A 25,689-nucleotide genomic window follows, 5' to 3' on the forward strand; every position below is an offset into this window, starting at 1 on the left:
GTAATATTAATAAGTGAATGTTCATTCACTTTCAGAATACCCTAAAGCTGTCTTCTTTCTGATTTTCTCATGTTTATCTGTTGGCAGTTGAGCAGATCTGAAGTCCGCCTTGTCATTCTGATAGCAAAAGCGAGGGAGGGAGGGAAAAGTTTAGATGAGCTGAATGTGGTAGGTCTAGGACAGGGGTCAGCAAACGTTTTTTTGTAAAGAGCTGGATAGTAAATATTCTAGGCTTTCTTTGTTGCATGTATAACTGGAACACAGTAGACCCCAAAGGGAGTACGTGGTTATTTCTAGTTGCTAAGAGAAGGCATTACAGAATAGGTAATACTTGAGAGCCTTAGAAGTCGCCAACATGTTAGGAAGGAAAAGACATTTCAGGCACGGGGAATCGCATGTGCAGAGGTACAGGAGTGTGACCACATATTTGGGGATTGCAGATAAGTTAGCATGGCTGGAATGGGTAGAGCACGCAGGGGCTCACTGTGAATGATGAGGTTACTTCCCTAGCTTAGAGGGAGCACCTTGTCAGTCATACTGGAGAAATTGGATTTTTATATTTTATTTTTTCCTCCAATTTCCCAGATGGAGAGGATTTTTGTATTTTAGAATAGTGATTTTCAAACATGTTTTAGCCTCACAACAAAAGCTTTTGTGGAAGCTCTGCATGTAAAATAGATAACCCCAGGCATAACTCTTCCGTGTAATAAAGAACAGCCGTTTCTACTGTGCAGTAGCCTCAGAAGGGGTTCTACAAACCCTCAATTTCCAAGGGATGCCTTTTACAAACTGCTTCTGAAGGAAGCAATGAAAGGTTTTTAAGATGAGGAACCACAAGCTCAGATTTGCGTGTTCGGAAGATCACCGTAAGACGACGTGAGAGATGGTTCTGAGAAAGCTGCACTGGAGGCCGAGACTAGGTAGAAGGTCCTTGCAGCCATACAGAGAAGAGGTGCTGAATATTGATATTAACAAGACAGAAGCAGGGGGAAAGCACATGAAAGCAAACAGAGTTGAAAACTTGTGCTGTCAATTCAGATCTGGCGGAGAAGATGGGAGAGAATCTAGAATGACCCCAGGTTCCTGACTTGGGACCTGGTGGGTGATGCCATCATTATCGCGAATCGGTAGCATAATTGATGAGGTTGTGATGTTCTTTATGATTTACTAAGTACTTCCCCATGCATCATCTCACGCGTTCTCCATCTGTGCATCCTTCATGCTTTTGCAGCATGGCTTCTGCTGTTGGCCTCATCCTCGTTGACCTCTTAAGCATTTGGCTTTGTTCACCTGCCTTCTGCATAAAACTCTTGCTCCCTTGATCTCTTTGACATCTGACCCTCCATGTATTTCTTTAGTTCTTCTTCCTTTTCTTTTTATATATAGGTATTCCTCAAAATACCTGAACCTGTTTCCTCTTGTTTCTTCCTTGTTCATATCATCCATCATGGTGACTTTAGTTATCTCAACAACACTCTTTCTCTCATGCACTCTGTCCTGTTTTCTGATCATCTGTATTATATTTCAGCTGCCGAGTAGGCATTGCAGACTAAATGTTCATCAAACTCTGTGTCTAGGGATTGAGCTAATAATCATTGTCCTTTTCTATTTCCTTATTTCCTGTTTCTGTTCATCACTACATTTATCACTCACCAAGGCTCAAAGCTTTCTTTCCCTTTTTTTTTTCTTTAAAAATAGGGTCTCGCTCTGTCGCCCAGGCTGGAGTGCAGTGGCGCAATCATGGCTCATTGCAGCCTCAACCTTCTGGGCTCAGGTGACCCTTGCACCTCAGTCTCCCAGGTAGCTGGGACTACAGGCACGCACCACAACACCCAGCTAATTTTTGTATTTTTTAGTAAAGATGGGGTCTCACTATGTTGCCCAGGCTGGTTTCAAACTCCTGGGCTCAGGTAATCCTACTCCCTCGGCCTCCCAAGATGTTGGCATTACAGGCATGAGCCACCATGCCTGACCAGGCTCAAAGCTTTGAAATTGTGTTTGAGTCCTTGCTCAAGTCTTATACCCTAATCATTTATCAGATTCTATCCATTCTATCCTCAGAATATCCTTCACCTCTGCTGCTTCCTGATCATTTCCACTGTTCTAGCTCTGACCCTTACTGCCTCTCACATCACTTCAGTAATCCATGTTATTGCTCTCCTTCAGTACCCATCACCTCCCACCCTCATCCATCCTGCGTGTTCCTGCCAGTGTGACTTTTCCCAACACATACCCCACACGTTTTTCTCTGTTGTCTAAAATCCTTCTAGGTCCAAACTACCAGTAGAATAAAGATTATGTTTCTTTTTCTGGAATTCAAAAGTCCTAGGATCTGGATGCAATTTTACTAAACCTGCTTCCTACTGCTCCCCACCTTGCACTCTACTTTCCAGACAAATAATTTTCTGTTTCTCTTACACTCCCCGTGTTTCACCTTCATCTATTTGTCATCTGACCCTTTGTCCTGGACTTCACCACTTCCAGTCTCCAACTATCCCAAACGCTGCATAATTAATCAAGCCTCCTCCGCATGATTGACCTCGCTGAGATCTGTCTCTCCTTTGACCTGCTGTAGCACTTTATCTGTCTGTGGCACTGATCACTTTCTGTGGGCTAGACATATCTGTTATTGCTGCACTAAACTGTGAGCTCTTTTAGTTGTGATTTATTTCTGATTTATTTCAGTGGCTCTTTTAGACTTTATCATTGTACATTATATGCTTAGTTAAAATGTGTTGGGAGAAATAATCTGATCTTAGAAAAACTCAGCCAAGTAGGCAGGGCAAGTAACATCGGCTCCTTTTTGAAAGATTAGGAAACAGGCTCAGAGAGGTTGAGAGAGTCCCTAAGGCTGGTTGCTCTCTAGTGCCGTAACTCTAGCCGAAAAACCATTTGTCAAGTGCCTAAACCAAGTGTATTTCATTGCACCATACTCCCTCTCCAAGTGGCTCACATCAAGCAAGCAAAATAGAAGACATAAGTAGTATATGAATTTGTCATAAAAGTCCTAAAAATACCTGTCATTCCTGATAATAATAATAATCCATACTAAGTCCTATAATAATCCATCTCTTGATTTTTTAGAGGGTGTGTGGGTGCGCACGTGTGCTTCTATGTGCATGAGAGAGAGATAGAGAAAGATGGCATTTACTGGTTAGGAAAATAATTAATTCAGGAAACAACAGAAGGCCAACTGGAAATACCGAGCAATTTCCAGATCCTGAGGTTAGGGCCAGACCATGTGAAAGGACAATGATCAATTTGTACATCTGCTGTTACTGACTGCCACTCTTTTAAGAATGATGGCACACATGTTTGGAAGATCCTTGAAAACTAACTTACTTTTTAAACACTGTCAATAATTTCCTTTTTTTTTTAGAAATCATGTTTGAACGCCGCATGTTCTCACTCATAAGTGGGAGTTGAACAGTGAGAACACATGGACACAGAGGGAGGGGAACATCACACATCGGCACCTGTTGGGAGGTCGGGGGCTGGGGGAGGGATAGCGTTAGGAGAAATACCTAATGTAAATGATGAGTTGATGGGTGCAGCAAATTAACAGGGCACATGTATACCTGTGTAACAAACCTGCATGTTGTGCCCATGTACCCTAGAACTTAAAGTATAATAATAAAAAAGAAAGAAAAAAGAAATCATATTTGAAGCATTGTTTTTATTTCTTAGGTTTTGTTACATTCCAATAATATTTATTTTTTTCTTCCTTTTTCTTCCTTTACCAGAAGAAGAAGAAGAGCAGGTGCCCACTGATGGAGGCACATCAGCAGAAGCCATGCAGGTTCCCTTGGAAGAAGATGATGAATTGGAGGAGGAAGAAATTATTAATGATGAGAATTTCCTGGGCAAGAGACCACTGGATAGTCCTGAAGCTGAAGAACTGCCAGCCATGAAGCGGCCTCGGCTATTAAGCACTAAAGGGGACACGCTAGATGTTGTGTTATTGGAAGCTCGAGAGCCACTCAGCTCAATAAATACTCAAAAGATCCCACCAATGCTTTCTCCAGTCCATGTACAGGACAGTACAGACTTGGCACCTCCCTCACCCGAGCCGCCAATGTTGGCTCCAGTTGCAAAATCACAAATGCCAACTGCAAAACCATTAGAAACAAAGTCATTTACACCTAAAACAAAGACTAAAACTAGCTCTCCAGGACAGAAGACTAAATCACCTAAAACCGCCCAGTCACCAGCAATGGTCGGAAGTCCTATTCGATCACCAAAAACTGTATCCAAAGAAAAGAAATCACCTGGACGTTCCAAGAGCCCCAAGAGTCCCAAGAGCCCCAAGGTCACGACTCACATTCCCCAAACACCTGTGAGACCTGAAACGCCCAACAGGACTCCTTCAGCTACACTCAGTGAAAAAATCAGTAAAGAGACTATCCAGGTAAAACAAATACAGACACCCCCTGATGCTGGGAAACTGAACAGTGAGAATCAGCCGAAAAAGGCTGTGGTAGCAGATAAAACGATTGAGGCCTCTATCGATGCTGTGATTGCACGAGCCTGTGCTGAGCGAGAGCCAGATCCTTTCGAATTTTCTTCTGGATCGGAATCTGAAGGAGACATTTTTACTAGCCCTAAGAGAATTTCAGGCCCGGAGTGTACTACTCCCAAAGCTTCCACTTCCGCGAACAATTTCACAAAGTCAGGATCCACTCCTCTGCCTCTTTCCGGTGGAACCTCAAGTTCCGATAACTCATGGACAATGGATGCCTCCATTGATGAGGTTGTACGTAAAGCAAAACTGGGAACACCTTCAAATATGCCCCCCAACTTTCCTTATATCTCTTCTCCGTCAGTGTCTCCTCCCACTCCCGAACCTCTCCACAAGGTGTATGAGGAGAAAACCAAGCTGCCTTCCTCCGTGGAGGTAAAGAAGAAGTTGAAAAAGGAACTAAAGACTAAAATGAAAAAGAAAGAAAAGCAGAGAGATAGGGAGAGGGAAAAAGACAAGAACAAGGACAAAAGTAAGGAGAAGGATAAAGTGAAAGAGAAAGAGAAAGACAAGGAAACTGGCAGGGAAACAAAGTATCCCTGGAAGGAATTTCTTAAAGAGGAAGAGGCAGATCCCTACAAGTTTAAAATCAAAGAATTTGAAGATGTTGATCCCAAAGTGAAATTGAAAGATGGACTTGTGAGGAAGGAGAAAGAGAAGCATAAAGATAAGAAGAAAGATAGAGAGAAAGGCAAGAAAGATAAAGATAAGAGAGAGAAAGAAAAAGTGAAAGATAAAGGCAGAGAAGATAAGATGAAAGCCCCAGCACCCCCACTGGTGTTGCCCCCAAAAGAGTTGGCCCTGCCCTTGTTCAGCCCTGCCACAGCCTCCAGGGTCCCAGCCATGCTGCCATCTTTGTTGCCAGTGCTTCCGGAAAAACTGTTTGAGGAGAAAGAGAAGGTGAAGGAGAAAGAAAAGAAAAAGGACAAAAAGGAGAAGAAGAAAAAGAAGGAAAAAGAGAAGGAGAAGAAGGAGAAGGAAAGAGAGAAAGAGAAGAGAGAGCGAGAGAAGAGAGAAAAAGAGAAGGAGAAACACAAGCATGAAAAAGTAAGCAGTTTCTCATTTTTGGCCCTATCTGAACAGAGTCCTAGTGAGAAACACAGGTAAACAAAGCCCACAATTATATCTGTATTCTGGGTGTAAATCACCCATCACTTAAGTGGAAATATGTTTATAATGAGGTTACAAAATTTGATTTTAATTCTAAAACCCATAAACCTGTAATCAAGCCCTCAACACACTAGCAGATGTTAAAAATTCATAGCCTAAGAGGCATCTAATCACAGACTATAAACTCTCTATTAGCTATAGTGATCTCTGGCAGCTTAAAAAAAACAAATCTGGGTTCTTAAATTGTGAATAATATTTATGTGAATTATCAAGTGTACTGCATTATATTTTGCACCCATATATTGAGAAAGGCAGCATCCATGTTTCTAAAAGCATGCAAAACCACGGCACTATTTTAAGAGGACAGCAAGGCCCGTGGAAGGACCACTGCCTTGGTTTTCTTTTTGGTGCGCCATTTTGGCATGTGTTTAGGATTATGCCTGTCTACAGAACTTTCCGTAGCATCTTTTATTCCTTCCGTTTTCTGCTTTAATAAGATAAGGGCACATTTCTGAGTATCTAGGCTGATCTGGCAGCCTGGTGAGTGGGCAGAAAGTAATCCCACATGGCAGAAATGTTTGACCATCTCAGTAAGTCAGACTTCATTTCATAGCATACAGCCCGACAAACTGATAGAAACCCCGCAGTTTTGTAGGCATTGGGGCCTCAGTCCTCAGGCTGTGACCTCTGCTTACCCAGCTTTGCTTTTCAGTCTGTGGTTTCTTGGATTACAGCAGCCGGCTGGGTTATTTGAAAATTTCTCATAAACTTTCCGAAAAAGTATCTCTTCATAGTGCCACCCCAGAGCTCCTGATGATCCTTTCCCTGCCCTCTAAAAGTTATCTTCTTTGAGCTTGGCCACAAAATAATACCCAGTAGTTTTGTTCATATGATAAAATTTGATGTATTTGACCTGCAGCAGATATATTACCAATAAATTCGGAGTATTTTTAACTTCAAACTTACCTAGAAAACTGAGTGTATTTGACAGCAGTAATGGCAACTCCCATTTTTCGCCTACCTTGATTTGTTCTTTGTTCTCTTTGGCTATCCTAAAATATAAAAAAGTGAAATGGGAATTCTGATATCAATAACTGAACATTGACAAGTTAACAAGACACAGAAATCCAACTCTTATTTCCATTTAAAAAATCATTTTATTTATTATTATGCAATTTCTATATAGTAGTTGTCAGGTTTTAAAGCAGATCCATACACCTTGTTTTCTCCTCCTAACACACCTGTGACATAGGTCCAGCAGGTATTATCATCGATATTTATGGAAGAGAAACTGAGCCTGAGAGAGTGACTTGTCCAAGATCAGGATGACACAGCTAGCAAGAGCCAGGTCAGTTACACTGCAGAGAGACTTCACGTGGTGAGGGGTTTGTTGTTAGAGATACTGCCTGACAGCAGTTAGTCATTTATCCCTTGTGTACCTAGTAAGTTGGCAGCTGAGCCCTCAGTAAATCAAACAGGGGACTGTTCCTGTCACCACCATCTTCACTTTGGAAAGTCAGTGGAGTTGTTTCAACAGCCATTATGAATTTGAGTGAAGCCATCAGATTAGGTTTGTAACAGCAGTCCCATGCCTTTCTACAGCATCTACCTGACTTTAGGGAAGAAAAGTCCCCCAGACCACCTTGGTGGAAGGCAAAGGCTCAGTCCCTCGAAGCACAGAGTCCACCTGAGAGAAAGATACATGTTCTTGGATCAGTTTTGCTGGGCTATGGAGCAGGTACATGGCAAAAGATAAAAATGTAGAAAATTCAGCTATCTTATAAGACCTTTATAAATAATAAATAGTAATGTCTATAGAATTAGACCTGAGTTCAGATCCTGACTTTTGTAAAATGGGTAAGTCATTTATATAAGGATTAAATGAGAACATACAAGGTGTGCTTAGTACCGTATCTGACGCATAAATGTCAGTAGATGGAGAGAGTGTTCCATTCTGAATCAAACTATAAAATGTAGGAACCTGGAGATTGCTGCTCCATTGGACCATATCAGCTAGCCTGTGTTAATATGGGCAGGTCAGCTATTAATAGGTTTTAAAAATTATTCTACTTCCTTGGCATTCTTTGGAATATTAGCCCTTGATACAAATAGGAAAGGATAAAGGTTAGGACAACCCAGGGAAATGCCATTGATAAGGAGTAGAAATTGGGATAGTAACATAAATGTTAAGACTTCCCTTTCTTCAACCCCGTTTAAATCCCCCAAGCACCACAGCATATGAGTAAACAAAAATACACCTGAAATGCGGTTCCATATGGTCCGAGAATTTTCCTACAAATCTACAGAAGTAAGGCACCAAAGGTTAAACTAAAGTGAGACATATCTGCTCACTTTATGTGAGCAGCTTTATGTAAGGCACCAAAGGTTAAACTAAAGTGAGACAAGCTGCCCCAAGAAAATGTTTTCAGCCAAAAGAATGAAGGCCACAATCTCATTTTCCCTTCTCATCATCCTGACCAAGAGCAACTCTCCCAGACACTGACCCAGATCGGCAAGCAAGAGCATTTGTTTAAATTTTTCAATCTCCACATTTATTTTACCTGCTTATAAAGCTGATACCAAGAACCAATAAAGATGTGATTAATTAAAACGGAATTTGCATGGTAGGTAGAAGGAGCTTTGGGCTTTGGAATCCAGCAGACCTGGAATAAGATCCAGGACAAGTTTTTTAGCTTCTTTAATCCTTAAGTATTTCATCTTTAGAAATAATGATAAGAACACTAAAAACAGCAAAACAGTCATAGTTAACAGTGAGTAATTACTATGTGCCAAACACCATGCTAAGCACTTTAATTCCTTACCACAACCCTCTAAGATAGATGCTGTAATTATTATCACTTTAAGATGAGAAACTAAGGCTTAGAGAGATTAGTAGACTTGCCCAAGATCACACATCTAGTAAGTGATTGAACAGGAGCCAAAATTTCAATCCAGGCTGTCAGATGCTATAATTTATGGTCCTCACTACCACACTTTTCTATATTATGTTAAAATGGGATAAGTGAAATCACTTGGTTGGTAACTCACCATAAGAAGTTCAAATTGTTTTTCTATTAGTGATGATAAATCCAGAGAGTGGTGAGTTGTGCAAGCTTTTAGTTCCCCTTCGTGGGCAGTCAGACACCTAGTCAGGGTTGGGACTCTAGACTGTCACTTATTTAAAATAGAACCACATTAACTTTTTATAAAACACATGTTAATGGCCAGGTGCAGTGGCTCATGCTCCCAATAGTTTAGGAGGCCAAGGCAGGAGGATTACTTGAGGCCAGGAATTTGAGACCAGCCCAGGCAACATAGTGAGACTGTCTCTCCAAAACAAACAAACAAACAAACAAACAAACAAAAACCTATTTTTTAAATTAACTAGGCATGGTGTTGCACATCTGGAGTCTCAGCTGCTTGGGAGGCTAAGGCGGGAGGATAGCACCACTGCACTTCAGCTTGGGCAACAGAGTGAGACCCTGTCTTAAAAAAAAAAGACATGTTAAGAGCACTTATATTATCCAATTGCAGTCACAGCCATAATAGTTGTAGCAGTGATAAATCTAACATTACATTTCAGAACAGTTTAAAATTGCTATTAATACTGTCACATTTGGGATTAAGTACAATTTTTAAAAATGTTTTATTAAAATTTTGGTTTCTGTGTGGGTTGGTGTATATATTGCATGGATCTTTGGGGTTTAGATGAGTATACAGGATTACTTTAATTACAATTCCCTCTTGTTCTTTTAAGTGATTTTTGGAGGGAGGATCATTTTGAAAAAATAAATGCATTTTTAAATTTATGTTAGTGGAACTGGATGGTTATACCTATATTCTTAAATAGAAAGTAAGCCAAAATCCATCTGTCAAAGTGGGGGATCTGTTTTTACATTCGAATATGATCTGGAAAGGCACAGTAGAGTTTCACCCCAAAAATGCTGACATCACCCACCATCTGTAGATAAGTAAGTCCAGTGCTGGCTGAGGGAGCATGGCTTTGGCAGCCACACTGACCGGGGTGGAAATTCCAGCTCTGCCACTTACTCGTTATTCACCAACCTCCCATCCTCGCAGACCCTCTGCTTCCTTCCTCCGTCTCCTTCCTCCCATTCAAAACTAGGAAGAGACAGCAGCATTCTAAAGTTTAACTTATCTCTGCTTAAAAACAGTAGTTTCATACCTTCTCGAAGAATATTCTGGCTTCAGAGGCTTTCTCTTCTGCCTTCTCTTAGAAAACAATAAATGAAGAGCAGTTTGTGTCATTTAATTAAGATAAGTAGAGGACTACAACAGTTCCTGAATTTTCATACACATATCCAATAGTGTTGATGATCAACCCCTGCATAATTGGGAGTTGTCGACAATGGAAAGCCCATAAATTCTAGAAAGGATTCTCAACATTTTTTATCCTGTTGATTGAGGAATTGTTTTATTTGAACTTTGGCTACTGAATAAACTAACTCGATAGTCAACAGTGTTAGCATCTACCACCTCTTGAGTGCCTACAGGTTCCAGGCCTTGCCAGAATTCAATGATTTAATTCTCCCAACAGCTCTGAGGGTTTGGTATAGTGGTTCCTGTTTTACAGTTGAGAAAACTGCACAGAAAGGTCGAGTACCTTGCTGTAGCCAGTGAGGGGAGGGGGCCCAGGCCTGTCTGCCCGAGGCCTGTGTTGTTTACTGCCCAGAATGGCCTTCTCAGCCACTTACCTCAGTCTGCTTTGGTGACCTAAGTGACAAATGCAAATGAGGGGGATAGGAATGGTTTGATGCTTGATGGCAAGGGCACATCATGATTTTATAAAATGTTAGTTCCTGGAGATACCTTAGAGAGCACCTGTTTAACCGCCATATTTTAAAGAGCAGGAAAGGGATATCCTTTACACTTTGATGACTTTAGCAATCAGAACAATTAAAAATTTTAATGTTTCTTTATCCCCAAGTCCTGTAGGATTTGCCCCCAAATAATCTTTTATTAAATTTAAACGGTTTGTTCTTTAGAGAATGATAAATCATCTAATTGGTTTGTACCTTTAAGGAAGGGTTTTCATCCTTTTCCTCTTTTGTTTAAAGTAATGTAGTCTCATTCCAAGTCTTTTCTCATCAGCTATTGTAATTAATTCGTGAAATGAAGGGTTTTTTTTGTAAATAAACCCAATAAAGGGGAGGGAAATGTTTCCTTCCTGTTTCTCATAACTGTATGTTCCAAGAGAAAACAAGAAACTTAATGTTTAAATGAGTATATTTAAATTTGTAGTTCACCCAAGGCCAGCTCCCAGCCTTTCTGACTCTACACTCTGAGCACGGACGGGAAAGCTCATATTCTGTCTCAGCTGTCTACATGGGGTGGCACTTGTTATACTTAACCACAACTGCACATCTTCTGACTCTCTGTTTAATATTTTAAATAGTTATCAGAGTTTACTTAGACTGTGTTTCTAAATGGAAATAATGTAAAGACCTTAATTGCTGAGAAATACAAGATGGTTACAGCCATAGTTCAGCATCCAAATGTTAGGTTATTCTGTTGAGCTTTCATCAGTACTATTTGTGAGTTTTTTTCTAACATACCGGCATAGATGGGAATCTGAACTAGCGCTTGCTAAATTTGCTGCTACCCTAGCTAGTATACATATATGGTGTTTTTTTTTTTTTTTAATGAAAGGAGTTTAACATTAAAAGAATAAAAAAATAAAAAACCTTGGACAGATTATATTGACAAAGCTGCCCATTACCTTTGCAGAAAGTCCCTGTCAAAAGATAAACTTTAAAGCTGGAATGCATGAAAGAGTTCCAAGATAGAATTTAAATTTGAACTGATTCTTTATAGATAAGCTTTTTAAAAATCCACCTCTTTGCTTCAAGTCAGGATTTTAAAAATAAATTTCCCCTTTAAATCTCTTGAGCGATTTTCATTTTTTGCAAGGCCGCACTGCTGGTGTCCTGGAAAAATGGAGAGTTAGAGCTTTATCAGTTGGTGCCCTGAGGTGTGTGGCGAAGAAGCTAAATCCTTGAAGATTAACAAAAAAAATGCAGCACATGGCAATAAGGGGCTTATATGACTACTAGTATTAGTTCAGGTGAAAGAAGTATTGCTTCTACATAAAACTGGACAAATCCACTGACAATGTATTTTTAGTTACCTACAAAGGAGTCTTATATTGCTGGACTTTACCTCTTTGGTGAATTGGGAAGCTTAGTAATCCACTGTAAATGCTCTTCTGTGTGCCCCAATTCTCAGCATTACTCCAAAGTGCTGTTCTTTTATTTTAACCCTTAAAAGCTCATCGTGGCCCCAGATTTTGGCTTGATGCCATTAAAAGATGGCATTAGTCATGTTGTCTAAGTGATTGAAGTCATCCTTTTGTTTGTTGTTTTTGGTAAGTGCATGTGAGAAATTATTTTATGATTGTAGGAAATGCCTCTGTTTTTATTTTGGTGAGCACACAGATAAAGTTAATGGAAACAAAAATCCGGGAAGAAATTTTAATTTCGAAATTGTACTTTCTGTATGTATATTATTAGCATCCTCATTAATCTTTTTCTACAATCCCTTGAATTTTCTCAAGTTAAATCTAATTTAACTTGTTTTTAGGAATGAAATAAAAGTATTTAAGTAGTTTTTAGATATATCCTGGTTTGCCTGGGACAATCCCAGTTATGTGGTATAATTAATAGCTCCCTCTTTTCCTGTCAGAGGCATCTGTGTTTAGATGATACAAACACTGTAATTACAGATGAAACTTTGAGCCGAGATAGCAGGTTGTGAATCATTCATTAATTCAACCAGTTGACTGAATACCTGTTGCCTTCCGGGCACATTTATACCATTTTAAATCTCACTTATGTGTTTCCACTTTTGTTTACTTAATTTTTACATATTGTATTATTTAGGGTTTTTTTATAGTAGATAATAAACAGACCATTTCTTGATTCCTTTGTCCTGCCAAGCCATTTAAGACAGCGTTGAAAACCCAGCTAGTTTGGTTGAGTGAAGGTGGGGCCAAGGTTAATGTCAGTTTCCATATAAACTAGTTAGCCTCCCATGGAGAACAAAATTTACAACTAACCCCAGCCATCTCACAAATATTTATCATAAGAGATATTGACAAATAAAGTGAATAGCTCCATGTAAGCCATCAATATTACCAGAAAAAGGACTCACAATGTGCGTCAGAGAGTTAAGGAGCAGTAGGGTGAACAGGGGATGAATTTGGTGTCAGGAGACCTGGATTTAGGCCATTTACTTACTAACTTTGTAACTCTAGGTAAAGCACTTACTCCTTCTGAGCTCTTACATGGGAATAACACCATCCACACCTACCCTATAGAGTTGTGAAGATAGAGTTGAATAATGTAAATAGGACACAGTTCACCAAGTGCTATACAAGTGTAAGTTATCATTATTGGGTGTTATGGTAATAAAAATGGGCCAAACACACAACTCAATAATAGTAGAGCAGAATTTTTTTAAAGGTAGGTCAAACAGCTTTATTTTAAAATCGAGCTTAAGAAAAGGTTATTGGAATGCGTACATGCTAGTGTTGTCAGTTGAAGAAATAAGAAATATCACTTCTAATACCTCATCACTGATGACTGTGTAACCCTAAAATTGTTAGAGTTGAAGAATATAAGAACTTCATATAATTTTTCATTCTCTGAATCAAAAAGACTGCATTCCGTCTCAGTTTTGCTATTTGTGTGACCTCAGAAGAGAAAAGGAAAACAAAATGGAAAAGAAAGGAAAAATGGTTTCTCCATATATGATCAGTTTACCTGTAAAATGAAACCCACATTATCTACCCTACATGTTTGTTTTTTAAAAACCTTAATGAGCACATTGGGAATATAACCAAGCACAATGCCTGGCAAATTATAGGTAGCTTGTAAATGTTTGTTTATTTTTGTTATATTTGTTTATTCTTCCACAGATAACACAGAAAGATGAGGAAGTCTTAAATAGTTCATAAGACTGGACCATTTGTTTTCAGATTTGTTTAGATATAAAACTCTTCATTTAAAAAATATATTGGAGACAGCCAGGCACGGTGGCTCACGCCTGTTATCCCAGCACTTTGGGAGGCTGAGGCAGGCAGATCACGAGATCAGGAGTTTGAGACCACCCTAGCCAGCATGGTGAAACCCTGTCTCTAATACAAATACAAAAAGTAGCCGGGCATGGTGGCATGCACCTGTAATCCCAGCTACTCGGGAGGCTGAGGCAGGAGAATCACTTAAACCCAGGAGGTGTAGGTTGTGGTGAGCCAAGAACGTGCCACTGATCTCCAGCCTGGGCGACAGAGTGAGATTCCTTCTGAAACATACACACACACACACACACACACACACACACACACACACAAACACACACACGAGACTTGAATGCTAACTAGTTATGCAAGGGTCTTGCTCCACCCGCCACCCATCCCCCTCATGACCCTTGACCCTGGACCATACTGTCTGCAGGACCAGGTAAATGAAGGAGACATCAGCCAAGAGTGATGTTGGCTAGGGGGAAGGGGCGGTTTGTGGGCAAGTTGATACGTTAAGATTTCAGTGTGATGAGATGAAATACTTATAGGTTATTTAGTTGAAAATGTTGAATAGGCATCTTCATATTTTGGCCTTAGTGTCAATCAGTGCTAATCCAGACCAAAATTTTGAAGACGTATTTTAAACTTACTTTCGAAACTGTGGGCAGGGATGAGATCACTAAAGAAACTGTAGCATGACAAGAGGAGAGGGCCAAGTAAGGTTGGGTGAAAGAAGAGGAGTTTGTAAAGGAGAAGGAAGGAGCATGAGAAGACCTATAATGGGAAAACTGGGACATGAGGACATTGGCAAGGGTTGAGGAATGAAGAAGAAGTGAGAAAACAGACAATGAAGTGAAGATTGAAATGTGTGAGAAATTGTTAGCTAGAGGTTGAAGAGAAGTTAAGAAAATGTTTAAGATGGAGTGGAGCACATTTAAAAGTGAGATGAAGGCCGGGCACAGTGGCTCACACCCGTAATCCCAGCACTTTGGGAGGTCGAGGCGGGCGGATCACGAGGTCAGGAGATCGAGACCACCCTGGCCAACACGGTGAAACCCCGTCTCTACTAAAAATACAAAAATTAGCCAGGCATGGTGGCAGCTGCCTGTAATCCCAGCTACTCTGGAGGCTGAGGCAGGAGAATCTCTTGAACCTGGGAGTTGGAGGTTGCAGTGAGCCAAGATTGCCACTGCACTCCAGCCTGGCAACAGAACAAGACTCTGTCTCAAAAAAAAAAAAAAAAAAAAAAGAGTGAGATGAAAATAATTCGTGGAACAGAAAGACTGAAGATACTGTAAATAAGCAGATGATAGAGAAAGCTTCTTTAGAAGACAGCAGGAGACAGATGCTAGTGTAATTGTGGGCACAGAGAAGTTTGTAGGGAATTGACAGAGCTCTCCTTCAATACTGGTGGCCTCACCGGTATTTCCTGTGGAGTTAGATGTGTAGAAGGGGAAAGAAGGTCATGGGAAGAGTCTTGAAAGTGCTAAAGATTGAAATCATTGCTTCATATTCATGCTTTACACTTATCTTAAGACTTACTAGGGTCAGATCCTGAAACAGGCACTAGAAAATAGCAGTAAGCAAAACGCGCATGGTCCCTGCCCTTAGCTGGGTTAGCTGGTAAACAGCTAGTATTGGAGGCATACATGAAGCTGGAATTAAAAATGTTCTTTGGCATCACTCGGTGCTCTAGGGGATGGTTTTAGGTTGGTCCTGGATGTATGGTGGAATAACTAAGAGGTAAAAGGGTTGGGGCAAGATAAGTTGATAATTCAACAAATGTCTGCCGAGCATCTCCTGCATGCAGGCATCATGCAAGGGAGCTGTCGAAGCAGTAGATCTTGATGGGCTGAGGGATTTGAAAAACAACTCTAGGAAGAGACAGATAAATACATGAGAGAAAATAATAGATTTGATCTACATGTACTATATTAACTTTATGATATGTTGATCATTATTTTATGTGTTCCCCTTTAGAACCACTATACTGTTCAATTATGATGTAATTCATGAGCTTGAAATACATAAATTAATGTTGCAGCTAGTCAGTGACTAACAGTAAACCAGTGACATTAAACATCTGGCAGTGCTTGGGACAGTGCCTTACAACAAAGAACCATCCCACCAAAAATACCAATCCTACAGCCCCACCGAAAGACTTGGAGATAGACAGTAATTTGGAAATGCAGAGCTTTTGTTTAGCTTGTTAATTCAAAATGTTGATTATATGATCTGCAAACCAACAATTGTGAAGAGACCCTTTAACATCAGACTTAGTTTCTGTGTTCTCTTCTGACGAACAGGTCAGATCTTTCTGAGGTCTTTATCTTATTTGGCAGCCATTGCCTTCACCACAAATCCATTCCAAAAGAGAATATCTGTTTTCGTTTTCTTTCTTTTTTCTTTTTTTTTTTTTTTAAGATGGAGTCTTGCTCTGTCACCCAGGGTGGAGTGCAGTGGCACAATCTCAGCTCACTGCAACCTCCACCTCCTGAGTTCAAGCGATTCTCCTGCCTCAGCCTCTTGAGTAGATGGGACTACAGGCACCCGCCACCATGACTGGCTAATTTTTTTTTTTTTTTTTTTGAGACGGAGTCTCGCTGTGTTGCCCAGGCTGGAGTGCACTGGCATGATCTCGGCTCACTGTAAGCTCCGCCTCCCGGGTTCACACCATTTTCCTGCCTCAGCCTCCTGAGTAGCTGGGACTACAGGCGCCCGCCACCACGCCCAGCTAATTTTTTGTATTTTTAGTTTCACCATGTTGGCCAAACTGATCTCGAATTCCTGACCTCATGACGCCTGCCTCAGGCCTCCCAAGGTGCTGAGATTACAGACATGAGCCACCACACCCTGCTTGTTTTTGTTTTCTTTTACAGCATTTCAGATTGTTTTACCCCTAGCCAAAAATTGAACAGTTGAATGGTACAATTACACTTAGTATTTCAACTTTCTCATTTGATAACGCAAACTTAAGATGAGTTTAATGTTTGTCAAGTTCCATAAACAGATGCTTTTATCTTATAGGGAAGACATCATCGCAGTTTTTTCTATTTATATTAAGTCTGGTAATTATTTAAATGCTCCACCAGAAATGATCTAGGTAACAATTTTTGTTTAAAAATTTTAACAATATAATTAAGTCCAAAAGTTAACCCAAACAAATAGAAATAACTACCATATTTATATAGCATGATTAAAGTTTGCAGAATTTCTCATGATGCCAGGTAGCCTTCAGTTGTACAGAATGGCCCAGATTGTCTTTCTGTCTAAATTTTAGCCATATTTAAGGCTTCAACTTTTTAACTCAGTTTGTGAGAGTGGGAGAGTAGGAGAAGTGGTAGGAGGTACTTTTGTTGAAAAACCATATTGAACTTTAATGTGCTAACTTCCACAGATAAAAGTGGAACCAGTCGCTCTGGCCCCGAGTCCAGTTATCCCCAGATTAACTCTCCGAGTCGGTGCTGGCCAAGACAAGATGTAAGTATAAACGTTTTGAATCAGGGTGAAACAAATGAAATTTAACCTTCTCTACTCTTTCCTAAGGGACTTAGAATTCCACAAGCTTCTCCCAGGTATGAACCTGTAGGGTCAAGCTTTATTTTTAGAACTCTTCGTTTTCAAGTTTTTATTGGTTTCTTTCACAGAGTAAATGCTTTTTGCTTTATTTGACGTAAAGGATTTTTTTTTTCTTGTTCTTTTTCTCTTTTTTAAAGACTAGCACCTGACATTATTTCTGCATAGTCTTTAAGGTCCCACTTATCTGAAAAATAAGAAACTCTGTACTGAATGGACTTACTGCCACATTACACCCAGGTGGATGCAATGTTACACTTTCCCAAGTACATAGTATCTGTCACCATGACAAAGAACAAAGATTCTCTTTTTGCTCAGATGGCACATGGTTTTATTCTGTACCTGTAAAACAAAGAAATGCCAAAGGCTTGGAGAGACAGTATGTAATAGTCACAACTGATGACTTAGTCCACTTTTTTTTAAGGAAGCCCTAGAAATGCAAACCCCACGTTTGCTGTTTATTTGTCTTAATTTTCATGGAATCATCATATCAACCCACTCGTCTTTACAGTTAATCTGTTGGATATTTTTCTTTTATTCATTTTTTGGGGAAGCATTAAGGCCTACAGTACTCTTACCTGATCCTAATAAGATAATGAAACATTGATTTTTTTTTTTGGAACTCATGTTGAAAATCATTCCCCTTGTTCTAAAAGCATATTATGCATCATTTAAATAAAATACACAAGATAAAAATTCTACAACCTTACTTTTCCCATTAAGCCTGAAAATGCAGTTTACATTGCAATCAAATATTGTGTTGAAAATAGGCTTACAAGGCATTCCATTTACATTCAATTTTTAGCCATAAAAGTGAGAGTAGGAGCCATGAATTTATTTAGTAGAGAGGACAGAAAATTTGCTTTGTATTCTCAGTGGTTCATTTCATCTTAAAAGTTACATGTATTGATACTGTTGCTTCTGTCAGTTCCACGTGTAGTGCAAAGAAAAAGTCCAGCATGATTCTGATGAATGTGAGCAGAGAGGCAACTTGGTTTTCCAGGGGAGTGTATACCCCTCTGAAGATTTAAAGGAGAAAATCTGATGGCTTCTGTTTTTCTCACCTAAATTCTCTGGATAATTTCCACATTACTCTTTTCGGTTGTGCCAGTAGAGACCTAGGAAATGCAGCAAAAATCCTGTGGATTCAGTGCTTTTGAAACCAGCTATCTGGTATACCTAATGCCCCTATCTTACCTACAGAAGCATGAAGAATGTCCTCATCCCTTAACCAGTAGAGCTTAGAGAAGACCCAACCAAAGTAAATCTTCCATCTCCATGCAAATTCTGCATATGGGCTCATTTCTCTAAGAGGAAGATGTTGTTATCCATCATTCAACAAGTACTTTTCTCCTGCAGTTTATATTTATTCCCATGTCTCAGTAACTCACCATTACTTAATCTTGACTCCCACACAGAAGTTTGGCTTGCTCATACCCTTTAGAGGAATAAGATTTGTTAAAAGGCATTGAAAAGCCAGGTATGGTAGGCCATGCCTGTAGTCCCAGTTACTTGGGAGGCTGAGGCAGGAAGATCACTTGAGGCCAGGAGTTCAAGGCTGCAGTGAGCTATGATCGTGCCCACTGCACTCCAGCCTGGGCAACAGAGCCAGATCCTGTCTCTAAAAATAAAAAATAAAAGGCAGCCAGATGCGGTGGCTCACGCCTGTAATCCCAGCACTTTGGGAGGCCGAGGCAGGTGGATCACAAGGTCAGGAGATCGAGACCATCCTGTCTAACACGGTGAAACCCCTTCTCTACTAAAAATACAAAAAATTAGCCAGGTGTGGTGGCAGGTGCCTGTAGTCCCAGCTACTTGGGAGGCTGAGGCAGGAGAATGGCATGAACCTGGGAGGCGGAGCTTTCTGTGAGCTGAGATCGCGCCACTGAACTCCAGCCTGGGCAACAGAACAAGTCTCTGTCTCAAAAAATGAAAAAAAAATGAAAAAAAAAAAAAAGGCATTGATAGTTATATTCAACTCACCTGCCTTTAAGCATCTTTCAGTCATTCTGTTGATTATTTATTCTGTTTTCCCCCTCAATAAATCACTCATACACCTGAGATATTGAAAGATATGAGAAATCCTATTTGGAACAGAATGTCTAGTATCACGGAAATTATAACACCCAGGTATTCTAGACAAATTGCCCTTGAAAGCATATTATATATCATGTAAACTTTCAGATATGTAGGTAATGACTGCCATGTTATATGAAGGATTAATCATTTGACCAAAGGCAGATGCAAGAAAATCCTTATAATGAACAAAGAGATAAATGAAGTGAAATAGATTACATTTTAAATTAAAATAGAGCGAGAAAGAAAGAGGACTAAATCTAATAGTAATAGAATTTTATGTAAAATAAAACTTATTCAGTAAAGTGCTTTTTGTGGGGTGGGGTGGTGGGGTGGGGGGTGGTTCTAAATCAGGGGTCAGCAAATTATGGGCCAAATCCAGGCCACTGCCTGTTTTCTGTGACCTGAAAGTTAAGAATGTGTTTTATATTTCTTAGTGGCTGGAAAAAAATTAAAAGAAGAATGTATTATGACACATGAAAATATGTAACATTCAAATTTCAGTGATCCTCCGTGGTTGTAGCATGATACATGGCTTAGTCCATGGTGATAATGGGGAGGGAGGTGACAGATTCCTGTCACTGTGCCTGTGGTTACCCAGTTTGCACACACCTTGGGGGGGAATAATACTCTTTTGAAGTGAAATTAATGAGCAGACTGGGATTCAAAAGGGGGAGTTTGAATAGTCCAGGGGGGTATTTATTGCTGAAGAACAGGCAGAATCATCTTTTGAAATTAGGAAAAACGAAAAAGCTTTACAGGGTTCAAATTATACCTTCTAGTTGGAAGATCTTTAAGACAGTATTTACTTTCTGAGTCTTAAATAAAGCAGTTATGTCTTCTGCCCTTGATCCAGAAAAGTACTTTGAGCTTGGATTGTTTCCTGTGTTCCCTATTATTGTTCCTTGAAGCAAGACAGGAATAACTTGTTTTTCCCTTGATTTAACATTCCTGGAAACTGTATTCTAAAGGAGTCAATGGTGAGTCCAGGACCTCCTCCTGATAGTGTTAAAATTCAAGATGACTTTCCAAGGACCTCAGATTCCTTTAACAGATCTTCCAGTAATGGGTGTCCAGAGTTCCCTGTAGTCTATATTGAAGATAAAACCAAAACCTAACCCTGAAATTACAGTCTCAACACCTAGAGACAACATATCCAAGTGAATTGCTGAAATATCTGGTCCAGCCTAGCAGAAGCCTTGCCTTGATGCTGGGATAGCAAGTAAGTTTCAGCTTGCCTCAGAGCCACTGCCTGCAACTCTGTTGATGGGATCCTGAGGTCCCACTTGGACTTGGGGCTGGGAGCAGGGTGAGTGTGACAGCCACCATGGAGGCCAGGGCAGGTGGCAAAGCAGGCACCAGGTTATTTGTCCTCCCCATCTTACTGTGTATTGAGTTTGGTCATTTTGAGCAAATGTAGGTAGAATTGGCTAACTTACAGTGTTCATCCTTTTCCTCATTTCTGTCAAGAAAATAGGAGCAAGGTAATGTGATGGATTTTAGGGACAGGGGCTGTTTGGATGGAACTGTCAAGAAAGACTTGGCAGAATAGGGCCTGCAACTCTTCTATAAAGCTCAAATTCAGGTAAAGGAGCTTTGTGAGAAAAAGGTGAAACACTGGTAAAGTATTAACAAAAAATACAAATTTGCATAAAGATTTGGGGCTGAATATAGGGTAGAGGAATAAGCATTCTTCCCCTCAGATTTCTCAAACGTCTCTTTTGCTGCTGTCTTCTCCCAAGGACTGAAGAGGAAGCCTCCTCCCTCTTCCATCTATTCACCCACCCTTGCCCTCGGGCAGTGGGTCCCCCATGCCCAGGTCCATGGTGAGCAGCTCCTCCTCCTCCTGCTTTCAGAGCACTCCTGCCTTTATCAGCAAGCACCAGAGAAGGGGTGACTGGTTGGGCCCCTCTAGACATCCCATCATGCATGGTCATGTTTTCTCTAATAAATATCTCATAATATATTGGATCAGGTGATATTGGAACCATTTGAGATGCCTTTCAGAGAACAATATTATTATCAATGGTAATTCTAAATTCCCTTTGAGAGTTCACAGTAGGTATTCTGTTTAACAAATATAACTCCTTTTTCAAAATATACAAATTATGTCAAGATATTTTTCAGAAACCACTTTACCTCTGGCATTAGTTTTCTTTCTGCTGACATTTTGATTTCTGGTGGCAAGTGGATTGATTTCTTACAATTCAGTAACTTCATCATCAGCCCTCGTCCTAACAAAGGTGCTGAGAATGTGATGCTTTCCTTTACATGTCATTTACTTTTTTTTGTTGCATTTCACAGAGTTTAACTTAAGCCTTGTGGGGGCTTTTTAATACTTGTAATGTCTAAATTTTTTCTATATATAATGAAAATGAGAGCTAAAGCTTTGCTTGTTAATCTTTAAAATCAATATGTATAGACACTTGTCTTTGAGTGATCTAAACTTTTCCAGTTAATGCTTTTTGACAATAGTAGTGAAGAATAATCATGGGCAGTTACAAAAATAATCATTTAAAATATTTTTAAGGAAAATAAGCATTTTATATTTTAAAATATAGCCAGATTTAGCCAAATGACATTCAACAGAGTGAAGCTTGCAGTGGTATTTTAGTGAAACATTCTTTAGAGAAATAATAGTAAATGTTTTTTATCTCACTTTCTGAATTTTCCTTTCTATACTTGAAGTGCTTTTTATTCATATATAACTTTTTTCCTAGTCTAAACAAATTTAGGGGAAAGTAAAGAGAGTATATATAGTACAGTCGGAAATAGAAATAGATCTTCTTCCCTAAGATCAAGGGAAGAAAAAAGAAGCAAATGATTGTAGGTCAAATATGATCATACCTTCCTAGCAGTAAGGGCAAAAAAATACATTTTTAAAATTAATTTGTTTTTATTTATTTATCTTTTTTTTGAGACAGAGCCTCCCTCACTCTGTTGCCCAGGCCGGAGTGCAGTGGTGTGATCTCAGCTCACTGCAACCTCCACCTCCCGGGTTCAAGTGATTCTCCGGCCTAAGCCTCCCAGGTAGCTAGGATTTCAGGCATGTGCCACCATGCCCGGCTAATTTTTTGTAGTTTTAGTAGAGATGGGGTTTCACCATGTTGCCCAGACTGGTCTCAAACTCCTAACCTCCGGTGATCCACCTGCCTTGGCTTCCCAAAGTGCTGGGATTACAGGTGTGAGCAATCTTGCTTGACTGAAATACATTTTTTTTTAAAGGAAGGTGTTTCACTTTCTCAGGAGAGAGTTTTTCAAGGCAGTAAATTTAAAAATTAACTTCTATGTGGGAGCAGATGACAAAGATGGTGTCCTCCACAGCGGTTTTTATAGGTGACCCAAAGGCATTTTTTGTTGACTTTTGCACACTTTCCAAGAGGAAAGCATGAAAGAACAGCTCAGTGCTGACAGCTCTTAAGCACCTCTTCATCTCTAGTGGAAACACTCCTATTTCCTTTTCTGAACTGTGTTAATCAAGACTCTTGGTGGCAAGTAACAGAAATCCAAATCAAACCGTCTTAGAGGGGAAAACAGCAGGGGTGGATGTGACTTCGGCGGGGCCACCTGCAGGCTTGCCAAGTATCCTAGGGCTCTGCCCACCCTCCTCTTCTCATCTGGCCTCTGCGGTGGCAGAGGTGGTCCTGGCCACTCAGGCTGTTGTGATTCTTGGTGCTCACAGTCCCTGGCGAAGCCCCGCTTCCCGGGCCTCCGTTATCAGCCCCCGTGAAGGACTTCGCTTCAGCAGCCCCTGTGGTAGGGAGGCTGCCCTGTCAGAAGGGGAAGTGGTAGGTTCCAGAAGGAAAGGAGGGCTCACACCAGAATAAGGGGCAAGAGGCAGGCAAAGGCGATTTATATGTTTTATTGTAGTTAGGAAAAGGCTGTCAGTTTTGCATTTTTATAAAAGTGTCCTGGGGAGGCAGGGCAAAGAACCTGGTTGGTGTACAAAAGGATACTTTAGATGTAACGTTTGGGAACATTTCAGAACGTCATCCTGTCAGACTTGGAAGGCCTTTTGCTTTTCTGTTTTTAATATTTTCTTCCTAACAAAACTGTCTGCTTTTGATTTAAAAACAACAACAACAACACAAAAAAAGATTAAAGAATGTTGGAGTTTTATTTTTCCCTGATTAACTTGCTACAGAAACTGAAACATTTCATAGGTATTTTGCCTACGTTAAAAGCTAAACATCATGAGCTGGACGTAGTGGCGTGCACCTATACTCCCAGCTACTTGGGAGGCTGAGGCAAGAGGATTGATTGAGCCTGGGAACTCAAGGCTACAGTGAGCTGTCATTGCACTGCTGCACTCCAGCCTGGGGGACAGAGTGAGACCCTGTCTCTAAAACAATAAATAAATAAATAAATAAATAAATTTTTAAAAAGCAAAATAACAACAATGACAAAAAGAATTTTAAGAATGACTGGTGAAGTTCACAAGTGACATTTAACATTTTTAAATGACTGTATTTAAAATTTTCAAATGACCTATTTTTAATGCTAGGGAAAGATGCTAACATTACCAGTGAAATTCCTAGGCTCTGAACAACTGCAACAAAGGTTGTGAGTTTGATACGTCATTCTTGCTACCTTCCTGTACTTACAAATTCAGCAGTCCCAAACCCATAGATCTTCATCCCTTTTCTGATTTTTCCAGAAAAGGAGTTTTTGACTTCCTTATATTACTGTCTTATTTTTACCACCTAGAACAATGATATAGTCTCTAAATTTAGTTTTTACCCCGGCACAATACTGTTTATTCATTAACACCAAAGATGCAATATGTTTACTAGAAAAAAATAGTAAACTGTCAGAAAAACTGGCTTTAGGTTTTCAGAAATACTTTTACTGCACAGTAAAACAAGTGGAGAGATTATAATCAAAGCATTTCCATCTTACTTGTAAACAATTACAGCAGTTCTTACATAGATGCCGCATTAGAAGACTCAGGAAAATTTACTGGATTCCATTCTAATGCAATTAGAGCTAATTTTGTTCTTTAAATGAATAAAAGGTCAGCTAGTAAATCTAGCTTATCTTGAGTCCAGACTTCAATAAATTGTTTTATTTAATTTGTTGTAAAAGATCTTATCCTTAATGGGTCCAGGTCTTATTAGTTCCCTTAGGTTTTAAAATATTTATGACCACCTCTTTAGATATGATTTGAATGATAGTTGGAAACTTTCTCTCCGCAGTGTTATCAAGGTCCACGATCACTAATTGAGTGAATATAGGAAAGTACTTAAGATTCATTATCTAGAAAAAGCTGATGTGGACTTCCAGAATTTAAATGTTCCTTAACCTGTGACAGGCAGAGATAATTTAGCTGTATCATGGAAACCTTTTGGATGCTATCTGATTATAATTTCTCCTAAAGATCAAACTACTCACACTTCTGGCATTTAAAAAAAGAATATGTTTCCTACAGATGAAAACACTTAGGCACTCTTTATTACCAAGAACATGGAACGTTTCAATCCTTTGCATTCTGTTATTTCCTGTTATGTTATGGGCCTATACTGTGTTCAGATACTTACATAAAGATTGCAGCTGCATGGTGCAACATCTCTTCGCTTTTCCCACGCCTGCCTGCATAGCTTCTAGAGTGAATATCCACGTCACTGCAGGACTGCTGTCATTTAGAATATGCACAGTCTTTTTTAATGTGGTAGCCACAAGTCTCAGCATGTGGAACTGCCTCGCCATGTTACCCCAGCTGATTAGACTTGCCTTTTGGGTTCCAAACCTTCTTACATCCCCCACGGCTTGTCGTCCAGGCTCTAGGAAAGAGTATGTGTCTATGGTCAGCCCTCCTCAGCTGCTGGCCTCCATTCCTACCTTGCCTGCCCCGGCTGGAACTTCGTTCCCTCTCTTAGCTCCTCTCCTCTGTGTCTTCCTCTTCTTTTTTCTCATTTTTGTCCAGCCTTTCATTCTCCCATGCTAACCCTCCTCACCTTCATCAAGCCTTCCCTCTGTATGAGAAAAAGGCTATGTAACATCTGCTTTTCATGCTGCTTCTCAAAACTTATTCTTTAGTTTTACTTTCTTCTAATTGTTCACTCCTAAACCTTCTGTATTCTGGTTTCTGCCCTAGAAACTTTTCTACAGCTTCTTGTTAAGACCATTAGATGCTTCCCAATTCCCAGTTCCAGAGAACATGCAGCAGCTCTTATTGTACAAACCCGGTCTGCCGTTTGGACACTGTCCCCTAAGCCCTTTCAGAAACTTCCTGTTCCTTTGATTTTTGTGGTACTACGCTAGACTCAGTCTCTCATTCTCTCTCTCTTTTTTTTTTTTTTTTTTTTTGAGACGGAATCTCACTCTGTGGCCCAGGCTGAAGTGCAGTGGTGTGATCTTGGCTCACTGCAGC

The 25,689-nt window shown here is 40.0% G+C and overlaps 1 protein-coding gene across 2 annotated transcripts in view, besides 2 other annotated features; it reads left to right on the forward strand.

Moving 5' to 3' along the window:
• The window catches only part of TAF3 (TATA-box binding protein associated factor 3), a 198,127-nt gene that overhangs the window by 141,672 nt on the left and 30,766 nt on the right, over positions 1-25,689 (forward strand). Inside the window, exons 3-4 of one of the 2 annotated variants that reach the window (NM_031923.4) lie at positions 3,744-5,566; positions 17,065-17,147. In NM_031923.4, the coding sequence (NP_114129.1) occupies positions 3,744-5,566; positions 17,065-17,147 (1,906 nt within the window). The remainder of the gene's footprint in view (positions 1-3,743; positions 5,567-17,064; positions 17,148-25,689) is intronic. The other variant, XM_011519741.2, reaches the window with a different exon arrangement.
• Positions 1,814-1,978: a silencer, noted in NCBI's record as "fragment chr10:8003953-8004117 (GRCh37/hg19 assembly coordinates)". NCBI's record gives its function as "represses an EF-1alpha promoter that drives an FKBP-Casp9 reporter gene in an ReSE screen in HepG2 liver carcinoma cells {active_cell/tissue: HepG2}" and the evidence as "EXISTENCE:reporter gene assay evidence [ECO:0000049][PMID:32094911]".
• Positions 6,910-7,204: a silencer, noted in NCBI's record as "tiled region #13617; HepG2 Repressive non-DNase unmatched - State 15:Elon". NCBI's record gives its function as "represses a minimal TATA promoter and a strong SV40 promoter by Sharpr-MPRA in HepG2 cells {active_cell/tissue: HepG2}" and the evidence as "EXISTENCE:reporter gene assay evidence [ECO:0000049][PMID:27701403]".

This window comes from Homo sapiens, chromosome 10 (assembly GCF_000001405.40).
Source record: "Homo sapiens chromosome 10, GRCh38.p14 Primary Assembly".
In the NCBI taxonomy this organism is placed as follows: domain Eukaryota; kingdom Metazoa; phylum Chordata; class Mammalia; order Primates; family Hominidae; genus Homo; species Homo sapiens.